Below are 12,130 nucleotides of genomic sequence, written 5' to 3'. Positions count from 1 at the left end.
AGAACATAATTAGAATGATTTTAGTACCAACAAAGTTGTCTCTTTTAAAACAATGAAACACCCTAAACTAGACTATAACAAATTCTTTAAAACGGTATAAATATGCTCTGAGGGCTGTATATATGGTTGCCTTCTTCCCTACCATTGCTTTATAGAATGCACAGAAATTAATACAGAAATATTAATTTTCTTTTAATTAATATTTCATCAGATTGTACTCTAAGGTCCAAGAAGGTCTAGGAGGATATGCAAAACACAGTAAAATTATAGCATAATCATTATTAGTTAATTAAAAAACAGATTATAATCTTGATGTGGACACACAGTGTACAATTACCCTTATTATTTGAATTTCTCAACACATACATCCTCTTAACTGTTCTTTATTCCTTTTTCACTTTGACTTCACACTAGGTCATTTCCAGGTTTTGCAATTACTATAGTTAACAAACTCAAGAAAAAAATAATACTATTGATTAATGAATATATCTGATGGCCTTCTGAAGGTTATAAATTCATTAAATTTGATATGTATGCCCTTAATGTGGCATCGGTAACAAAAGTTGAGAAAGAAAGACACTCCAATTTGATTAGCTACTTACTCTGTACCAGGCATTATGCTTGGCATTTCACATGTGGTATTTTATTGAACCATTATGTGGCCAAATCTAACCTACAACCATAAAGAGAAGGGGATTCTGAGAAATGTAACTCCTGGCTTTCCCTCTGTGCCACAGAGGAAACTGTAAAATGTGCTGGCAACTATAGCAATTAACAGGTAATCCATAATAGTCAACCTATTGGGGGAGGAAGTAGCACCCCTGTTCTTATAATCTAACCACTCAGGAGAGTCTTTTCAAAATTAGAACAGAAGCAGCTTATTGAAGAAGGTTCTCACCATCACCCAGAGGCAGAGCCAGGTGAGAAGACTGATCACTCCTTGTAGCGACCAAGCACGATTGTCTAGAGTCAAAAAGGGAGCTGGGGCCAAAGCCAGGAATGACAGAGCCCTACAGGGCTTTCCCAGAGCAAACACTCAGGCTTCCTGCCCACAGGGATGTCCTTGTGCTCACCAAAAGCAGGTCCTATCTGGGAATCTTGTTTTGGGAGGTAATGTTTAGCAATGCATGTGAGTCTCAGCATATAATTCTACTCTTAGAGGTGGGTATTGAAGTCTGAGAAGTGCCGTCAATTTAGTAGAGAATCAGGCAAGTAAGGAAGGAGTTACAGGACCATGGACTGGTGCAAAGACAGAGGTAAACACCAGTGCTATGGGAGTACCAAAGTATACCTGGAGGAGGGGACAATAATGATCAGTGTGGGTCATTAAGATGCTAACAGAGGGAAAATTTGAAACCAGAAACACAAGCCTTAAAGGTTGCACAATTACATTTAGTGTTTTGGCTCTGATTTTACCGACTGAAGGATAATGAGATGGCAGGACAATCCAGACAGAGGGGAAACCATATGAGTCAGAAAAACGCAGAGGGAGAGAAAGAGATCCAGAGAGGGAAGGACAGTGAGAGAGAGAACATGTTCTTTCTTTAACTGAGGTATTTCTCATTGTGAAGTGGAGAATAGAACGTAGTTTTTAAAAATTAAATAATACAACTCTGATTAGAAAAACTAATTATGGCTTTGAAAGCCCAGTTTAAAGTTTTCAAAGCCTCTAGTATTTGTCCATTTGTTTACTGCCACTTTCAAAATGTCTCATTGCAAATTCCTACTCAAATGTTATACCCATAATTTACAGCTAGAAATCATACTCACAGCTTTGTAAAAATGAAAAAAAAATTGTATTAAGATGTGACTTATTTCTGTGCTCAGATAGCATTAAAAGTTTGACCCATAATCACACAACCAACAGCATGATTTTTTTAAATCTGACAATTTGTAATCATGTTGAAAATTTTGTACTGAGTTTAGGCACAAACTGGTTATCATACCTGCGCCCATATGAGATGACTTAAGTTTCCATTACCAATTAGAGTTGAGATCTTTCAAAATCAACAAAGATGACAGCCTAAAATTTCATGTGTCTTAATAAGGTTTCAGAAGGTGATTTTTGTTTTGTTTTGTTTTGCCTTTGATGGGCTTCAAAATCCAAGGTGACAGAAGACTACCCCCACCTACTTCTGGCAGGAAGATAGACCTCAACGAAACAAAGTTGAGAGTGTGATAGCATGTGTCAAAAGCATAAAGGATCACATCTAATAGAGGTTTTTATGATCAAGAAGTCCCATGTGTAATCAGAAGACAGTACCTTAATTGATACTTGACTCCTGTCAAAAGCTATTTGCCTGAAAATAATGAAGGCATTCCCTTAGTGTGTTTCACTGTATATTAATTCTGTATCATGGTATACATCTGCATTAGCTACTTTTATATGACATAAAAAAGAAAAAGGCCATTTACTTTAGAAAAAAAAACAATTGCTAACATTCAAAGAGAGTGTGCTACACATGCAGCTGGACTGTTTGCATGAATTTTACTGCATTTAATCTTTACAGCACCTCTAAAATATAGGGATTGCATTTCCCATTTTACAGCAAAAGAAGGTGATGTTCAGCTTCATTAAGTAACTCATCCAAGGTCATACAGCGGGTAAGTAGCAGAGCTGAGATTTTAAAACAGAGCTGAGATTTCCATCAATATAGCTCGTTCTCTATCCAGAATTCCACAAAACCTTTCTAGGTTTATGTATTCAAAGTGACCATAAATTGTAATTGAATAAAATACCTTTCTTCTTTTAATGTTGAAATTTTACAATTGGGCCCAAATGAACATTACCATTATATACCACATGAAAGCCTACCAAGCTCTAAAATTTAGGCACTTTTTTCCCTCTTTTATTTCCTGCTTGAGGATTGTTAAGTGGTTCATCATAAGAGGTAATTTATTACAAATAATTTTGTCTATTAGATAGATGTGAATAAAATGTGAATGTGAACTTTTTTTTTTTTTTTTTGAGTATTGAATCTTAACCAGAGGTGATTTTGCCTCTCCTTCCCCCTGGGGACATTTGGCAATGTCTGGAGATAGTTTTATTTGCCACAACAGGGAAGGTGCTACTGCATCTAGTGGGTAGAGGCCAGGGATACTGCTGAATATTCAACAATGCCTAGAACAGCCCGCACAAGAAAGAATTATCCAGCCCCAAATGTCTCCAGTCCTAAGGTTGAGAAACCCTGCTTTGTGTTGTTGTTTTCAATTAGTGAATCCTCTGGAAAGGAAGTTCTAAACTTTAATTAATAAAAGTGCAACTTATCTTCTATTCCAGGCTACCTTCTCCTGCCACAGATACTCTATCCCATTTGCTGTCATCCAACGACTAACACCGTTTTCACTTCAGAACGTCAAGCCTTTTCTGTTCTCTTCATGGCCTCCTCCCATTAAAGCTGAAAGTATCTGCTATCAGTCATTTGTCCTAACTGAGTAAGAGTACATTCTTTTTAGAATTTAAGAACCTACACTTTAGACCTCTCTTCACTAATTATAGAATCCATCATTCAACAAATATTTATTGATTGCCTACTATGTGCCATGCTCTGTTCCAGGCTTTAAGGGTGCAGTGGTAGCAATCACAGATAGGACCCCATTATTCTGTCTACACCTTGTGAGGGGAGATAGTCAATAAAGAAACAAACAAAATAATTTTCCCATGGTGATACTTGCTTTGGTGTCATTCAAATAGGATGTGCTGGTAGTAACTGGGGAAGGTAGGAATTTTTTTTAAGGAGGTATTATTTGAACTAAGATGCAAATGACAAGAAGAAAACAACCATTTAAAAATCTGGGATCAGAGAATTTCAACCAAAGAGACCAGAAAAATCTACAGTCTCTAAAGCAGGAATGAGTTTGGAATGTTTAAAGAATAGAAAGCAAGCCAGCGTGAGTTGATTCTAGTGAATAAGTAAAAGAGCGACAGAAGAAGAAGCTGGAAAAACTCCACCAGACCCGATCAGGTAGGAGGTCATATGCCATGGTAGAAATTTCAGTATTCTTATTATTGCAATTAAAAGCCATAAAATAACGTTAAGCAAAGACATAAGAAAACATGATGTGTATTTTAAGAGACAACTTTGGCTACTATTTGGAACATGTCCCATGGGAGGCATAAGTGAAATCAGAGAATCAGATAGAAAGCCTTGGAAATAATGAGAGATGTTGGTAGCTTAGACTATGGCATAACAGTGGAAAGGGACAGACTGGGTTGTTATCAAGAGTTACTTTGGAGGTAGAGCTGACAGGCTTGATGATGGGCAGGGTGTAAAGGGAAGACAAATATCAAGAGTGATACCTGCATTTTTTACTTCGGCAACGGAGTTGAGGCTCATATTATTTACTGAGATGTCGCATAATGACAGCTAAGCTGGTTAGAAGGAAACATCACATGGTCTGTTTGGAGTTATGTTATATTTGATGTGACATGCAACAGAAGATGTCAAGGATGCAGGACAAAGGAAGCTAGAGATCAGAGATGGAGATGTGCATTTGGAAGTTTCCACCATGCAGATGGCATTTAAAACCTTGGAAATAAATGAGATCAGTTGCAGAGCCTGTATTTATAGACTTATAAGGAAACTTGTGGCAGTTCAACCTCCAGGAGCTCACATCTATCCTGGATAAAAATAATTGCAGGTATCTTTTTATAAACAAGAAGTATTAAGTGCAGCAGAGGAGATCTAAAAAATTATTGTGCTTATTTACTATGCTCTAAACCAAACAAAAAGTGTAGGAAGGGGACAGAGAGCATAAGCTTTCAAACGATAAAGTAGTTTTATAAAGGTAAAGAGCATTGTTAGTTATTTTAGAGTAACTGAAAAGAGCGTGGAAAATCTGAAATAAAAACGAACGGCTCACAGTGCCTTCAGACTGGTTAACTCGTGTTCACCAAGACATTCTTGGAGTCTTTTGGGTGTGGCTGGTTGCTTTTTATCATCACCTTCTCATATTGGGTATGCTCTCCTAAAACCCTGGTGTTTTTGCCTGCTAAGTTAAATTTTACTCAGTAAATCATGTTTATATTCAAGTGCTAGATTTTCCAGTTATCTATATTAAATTTCATCTTTTTAGGCAGTTGGGATTGTGTTAAAACCTGATCCTGCTTTAAAGCCTAATAGTAGTATTTCAAGTTTCTTGTCACCTGCAAATTTAACAAATATATCTTCACTTAAATCTTAATTTAAAGAATTTAATCAGAGGAGGACCATTTTACCAGGGAGCTCCCTCGTGTTAGACATCACACCTCTCTTTGGGTACCACCAGTTATGTATATATCAAACTGTAAAGGCATTGCACCCATATTTTCATCTTTATCTTCATTATTTTCTACAAACTGTCTTGCTGAAATGTGCTCCCACTTGGCCTATAAGATTTCAGTAGAAGAGTCTATAGATTTTTTTTTTTTTTGACAGAGTTTTGCTCTTGTTGCCCAGGCTGGAGTGCAATGGCGCGATCTTGGCTCACTGCCACCTCTGCCTCCCAGGTTCAGGCGGTTCTCCTGCCCCAGCCTCCTGAGTAGCTGGGATTATACAGGCATGTACTACCACACCCAGCTAATTTTGTATTTTTAATAGAGACGGCGTTTCTCCATGTTAGGCTGGTCTCAAACTCCTGACCTCAGGTGATCCGCCCGCCTCAGCCTCCCAAAGTGCTGGGATTACGGGCATGAGCCACCACGCCCGGCAGAGTCTAGAGATCTTAACCCAAAATAAAGCAAGGTCAATATAACATAATTTGTCAATAAGGCATATATGGTAGCTCCTAGGATCACTATTCTTTTTCCATGTGCTCACAAATCCTAAAAAAAAATAGTCTATTTAAAAATCAGATTTAGACATTTCTTTAAGTTCTCTAAAGTTTTTTTCATCATCATATTGTCCTAATCAGTCCTTTAATACCTATTCTGCTCTCCATATTCCTCAAACATTGCTGGTAGCAACTCTGCAAACTAAACTGCACATCCTCTCAGTTGCCCTGCATGCCTGCAGTTCTATCTGGGCAGGAGACACACACTTCCTGAGTGTTAACTCATCTTGTTGGGCTTCAATTTCCTCTCGCAAATATCTGCTCCTCTTACTAGCCTGACCATCCTTCTCACTGGCAGAAATGATGGAATATAAATAGGAGTAAAAGGGTTATGTTTTTCTCTGTCAATACATTACCAGCATATTTTAAGGCAAGAGCCATTATTTATTTGTTTATTTGTTAAGCTTTAAGTTTTACAAAAAAAGATATGTTAAACCACCACTTAACCATAACACATATGGCAGACAGATTACAACCACATCATTCTCTAGAGTTGACGCTTAATCATGAAATCAGGCCTGCTCTTTTCCTTCAAAGAAGCAGTAGAGTAGGTTCATTTTCACAAAGACAAGTAACTGAAAATTGAGCATGAGGTTATTAGATTGAGGATTCTTCCTTTTCTTATCTTTCTTTTCTACTTCTTTCTTCTTTCTTCTCTTTCTTTTTTTACAACCATATCAAATAATAAAGTAAAACCATTGAAAAATCTCTAGATAACATTGGAGTGGGTTTTGGTTTTTATTTTTTTGCATCTTTTCTACTCAATTTAGCTGACATTTTAATGAAACTACTCTTCCCCAAGTAATTAAATAGCATACTTGCATTGCAATTGCCTTCATAGCCTGAGAGTTTTTGTTATCTCTATGAAAAAAATAAGATAATAGTTTTGATGCATTTACTTAAATAGGAACATGGGTTCCCAGAACACAGATGGACTTAATAATAGTTTTAAGTGAATGAATGAATCCATGAGTGAATAAAATGTGACAAATGTATATAAAGTGTATACATGTGGATTCATAAGCTGTCCAACCCGTATCCTTTGCTATAAGATAGTATACAAAATGGGAGCACATTTTTGTAAGACTCACTTGATTAGATGAAAATATATTTCATGATTTTCTGGGAAATAATTCATCATACTCAACAAACTCTATCTCTTTACTGGGCCTTACTCAACTCTTACTTCCTATCTAAGATTTTGTGGTACTTGTATGTATGTATACCATTTAGTGGAAACACATCTTGGTGGTCCATTGACTGTCAGTTTTCTTGTGATTTCAGACTGGTTTTTATTTTTCTGACCACATGTTCACATCGCCAAAATGTTTTTGTTTTAGAGTCACTTACTGTAGTTTTCTATGGGGTAGAAACCAGTAAGCTGTGCAGTCAAACTTCATTAAGTCACGTCAAAATGTTGGTAAAAAGTACCCCTACTTACTTCTGTCACTATGCATTCCCATTTTCAACCTTACTGCACAATTTCCAATGTCTTTTGTTGGAAACCAGAACAAACAATGAAATAATAGACATTAGAATTTCAAGAATGAACCCCTTGGTTTATCCCCTAAAAGCAGCCAGAGGGGAAAAGATGGCTCCCCTACAAAGCATCAGAAATGAGTTTGACAGGTAACTTTTCACCAACAACTGTGGAATCCAGAAGCCAGTGGAATGGACCTTTAATGTGCTCCAAAGATAGCTGACAATCAAAAATTTGAAACCCAATAAAACTATGGTTTTAAGAACCAGAGGGAAATAAATTCCATTCCAGAATTTTTTTTTAATTTATCAGCAAAAGACCTTAACTTCCTAGAGAATGTTTCAGAAGTAAATAATTGACATCAGAGAAAATCTGACATGAAGAAAGGAATGTGATCAAAAATAAAATAAGACATACTTGTTGGGAGATTTAAACCTATTCTTAAAAATAAACATCATAACATCTAACTTGTTGGACTAAAATGAAAAAAAAAGCTTGAGGTAAAATATAAAAAAGCTATGCAATGTAAGCTAGGAAGAGATCAGAATTAAAATGTTTTCAGATATGTTTACTGTTTGGGGGGAAGTTAAAGACACTGATTAACTTTAGATTTTATTAAGTATGCATGTTCATGCTTCAATGGTATCAATTAACAGAATGGAGCTAGTGTATTTAAATACCAAACCAGTAGGTATAAAAAGAAATGAGAAACAAAAAGATCAACCAAACATATTTTCAGTTAAAATCCCAATACAGTTCTAAGATAGTATTTAGAAGAGCAAAGGCTCTGAAAATATAATTTGTGAAGAAAATGTGGGGTGAATTGTGGTACCAGATTTTAAAGATTGATTTTAAAACAATAGTAATTAAGACAGGATATCCTGCTGCAGGAATAGACAAATAGCATGTATGACAGGCATAATATTGCAATTATTAGGAAGAAGATGAGCCATTCAATAGATATTGCTAGAATAATTGTTAATCTATATGGGAAAAAGGCATATTTACTTCAAACTAATGCACAGCACAAAAAGCAAAAATATTAAAGGAAAAAATGGACAAATTTTTCTACCTTAAAATTATAAACTACTAGAAAACACAAAAAGTGAGAAAAGCAGCTATGAAATAATAGAATATATTTGTAACATATAAAATTAAAAAGGAATTAGTATGTGTAACATATAAAGAATTTCTTCAAATCAATTAGAAAAGACAAGCAACCTGAAAGAAAAAAACAGGCAAAAGAATAAACTGGCAGTGCATAGACTAGAAAACTCAGCAGAACAAGAAATATTGAAAAGATATTCAGTCTCATGTTCAATCTAGGATATACAAATTAATACCACAATGAGATAATGTCTTATACATACAACATTGGAAATTTTTAAAATTTTATTAACAAATCTTGATGAGATTGTGGAGAAACGAGAACATGCATACATATCTGGTGTCTATAAATTACCAGTAGAGTTACTAATGGGCACAGTTAATTAACTAGCAATTCTTTTCCTAGATATATGATCTAGGAAAAGTCCTTCACATATACAACAGAATAAGTGTACAGCATTAATTATAATCATAAAAACTGGAAGTAACACAAATTTCTATCAACAATAGTATGGATACATAAATTTTAGTTCAGTGATTACTAAACAACAATAAAAGGAATGAATAAGCTACTTATATCAGCATGAATCTAATAAACAGTATGTTGGGTAGAAAAGAAATAAGATGTAAGAATAATACCTATGCTTTGATACTCCTTATACAGAATTTTAAAATATGTAAAACTAAACACTATTTCAAGCCACATACATATGTATTACAACTATGAAGGAATTCCAGGGAATGATAAAAAGTTCTGAATGCTGATAGCTTCCGAGTGGAAGAGAAAGGAATGGCCTCATGAGAAACTTCAGTGATGTAGAAAACACCCTATTTCTGAATGTGGTTGTCCTATTAGCATTTTTCATATATTTTATATATAATACATTAAAAATATAATTTTATAAGTATAAAATATTGTATAATACAAAAGTAAAAATTAAATTGTGTACTTTAAAAGAACAAAGAGAAAAAGATACAATGCTTTATTCCCCACTCCTATCACTTATTCTGATATAAAATATAAAATAAAACCATCAAAATAAAACTAATGCATTATAAATCTTCTTTTAGTAAAAGTTTAAAGTCACCCATGTTAAGCTTTTCCACTAAAATTGGTTTCTACAATATCACATAAAAATCAACACACAATGCATTAATTAGTGCATGTGTTTGGCATGGGATAAGGCACTAATCTCTATAGGCTTTGGGTTTTTTCATCTGTCCATTGAGATGACTTGGATCAACTAACTTATATGAGATTTTTCTGCAGTAAGTCTCTATGTACTTCCTCTGGTATATGACTTGAACACCCTCTCCACTAATGAGGAACATATATTACAAGCTGTTATGTTCTGGAAGACAGAAGCCATGTCTTTCATAGCAATACCTTCAGTGCCTAGTGAAGTACCTGGCATGTACGACATGATCCAATAAAGGTCTGCAGAATGAAGAACAATGGCATTATATGCTAGTGAATTCTAGACATGCTAAAATTTGATCATATTCTAGAAGTCATTATATGACAAATTGCATGGATTTACACTATCATTACAGAGATATTAGCTGCTAAATTATCAAAAAGATGAAATATTCATCAATTTTAGGGTGCACAATTTTTACATTTTATCTTCTCTGAAGTCAAGGTTGGTCTTACAATAGATGACACCTTTTTAAACTCTTGTCAGCCAGGCAGCAGTTGTGCTGCAGTTGTCATTGCCTAATTATGAAAACAATTATTAATATTATTCCTGGTGCCACGGCTAGACAACAGAATTCCCTCAATGCAATTAGTCAACAAATGCTTCCAGGAAAGAATGTGAGTCCTACTTGTCCTGTCCAAAAAACTTTCATTGACATATTCTGATATGCTCAAGACAACCCAGCTTGAAAACTTAAGAATGAATACTGGTATTTTGAAAGAATATTCTGAAGACAATAGTAGAGCACCCTTTCAAGAAAACCTCCATCAAAAATGTTCTTTAAAACAAGTAAATTGTAGAGAGAGTGGTGTGGCTATATTGTCCAGGCTTGTCTTGAACACCTGGCCTCAACCCATCCTCCTACTTCAGCTCCCCAAAGGGCTGGGATTATAAGCATGAGCCACTGCTCCTGGCCCCTTCAAAATGTTCTTGATTGTCCCAAAGAACAAGATTGACTGGGAAAACTCAGAGATAAAGAAATCTAAGTAGAAAAACAATTCAGAAGAGTTGGACTCTAAATGCAAGTAGATTTTAGGAGAACCTCAGTCAACTTATGTGGCTTATGTTTCTCTGTAAACGAACAAGAATGTATCTTTTAAAAATGGTTCCTTTAATTACTGATCTAGTTTCTGAAGCTTTCAAGACTTAAAGGGTTAATTCCCACTAAGAAGTCATAGTTATGGAAACTGGGAGCCAGGAGAGGGCAGCAGAGAACTAACCTAAAAGAGTTTTGTTTTGTTTTTGTTTTAACTATTAATATATACAAGGGACTTCACAGTTTATGAAGCTCCTTCATGTATGTAGGAACTCATGGTATCCCTACAAGGAAACTGGTGTAGGCTAGTTATTTTCATCCTCATTTAACAGACAAGGAAAATGTGAAGAAATTAAATTTGAAGGACAGCAGCTAATACGGGGTAGGCCTTAACTAATGATAAGTTTGAGAGTTGGACTTTGGCGCGCCCTTCTCCATCCCGTCAGCTGCTGGTAAGCCTTACAGAAGCCTAGTGGGTGGTCAGGAATAGTATTGGAGATGGGGTCTGCTGGACACACCGTCTAGTTGGTATCTAACTGAGGTCCAGGTCAGCTAAGCCTAGAACCAAGGTGTCTGGTGAAGATGTAATGAATCAGCATGCAGATGTGAACTAAGAAGTCAAGCCGAAGACCAAGGGAGCTTAAGCGGATATCAAACCAGTCCATGAACACTGGAGGGAAGACAGGCCTGAACAGAATTAAGAAGTGGGCCAGAGAGAAAACCGCAGATGGCATATCGTGCTATCAGAGTGCCTAAAAGCACCATGAGTACCGCTACGTTGTCCATTCCTGCCCTTTCTGGTCATTAAGTGGCCCAGCCCCAGATATATTGAAAAACAGAACAGATCCTGGGCCCTCAGCAATAATGTTTGAGCAAGACTCTGGGGTATTTTACACTGGAGAAGGTACAGATGAAATAACAGATATTTTCTGTGTTCCTACCTCACTATCTAAGAATAACAATAAAAAAATCAGAGGGAGAATTTCTGCTTCATTTACCGAGTGGCTATTGTTTAAAAGCTAAAGTCAGGAAATGGAATATTTTGAAGTCCTACTGGGAAGGGATATATGATTCTTCACTCCAGAGAAATTGCACTAAACCTTTTGGCCTGACAGGTCTAGTCTAGCTGAAATAGTTCATCAAGATCCATTTCTGTACTGAGCTGTCATTTCACCAAGTAAGCTATATGGTTTGGATTTTGAAGGTTTTGGTTTCTGCTGAAACTCAAAGATGGAAAATGTTCTGAGACAAACAAGAGCAAACTCTGCTTAATATTCCCTGGCATGGTCACCTCTTGGGAACACCCCTAAAGAAGGTTGAAATGTGTGCTTGCAGCTGCATTTTCTTAAGAGAGGACAGGTCTCAGAATGCAGAATAGAGAAGTAGCTTTTCCAGATTCTCCATGTTGTGTGCAAGACATCAACTGTGCCAGTTCATACACATGTTGTGCGAGTCCCTTTCCCAGAAAGCACACAAAAAGGAAAATAGGAGTCAGTA

General features: G+C 36.0%; 1 protein-coding gene across 14 annotated transcripts in view; it reads left to right on the top strand.

Moving 5' to 3' along the window:
- The window catches only part of LINGO2 (leucine rich repeat and Ig domain containing 2), a 1,275,985-nt gene that overhangs the window by 1,129,343 nt on the left and 134,512 nt on the right, over positions 1–12,130 (top strand). The window lies entirely within an intron of this gene.

The sequence above is a fragment of the Homo sapiens genome, chromosome 9 (assembly GCF_000001405.40).
Source record: "Homo sapiens chromosome 9, GRCh38.p14 Primary Assembly".
In the NCBI taxonomy this organism is placed as follows: Eukaryota; Metazoa; Chordata; class Mammalia; order Primates; family Hominidae; genus Homo; species Homo sapiens.
Note: the sequence above shows the minus strand (reverse complement) of the source record. Positions and strands in the feature narration are given on the sequence as shown.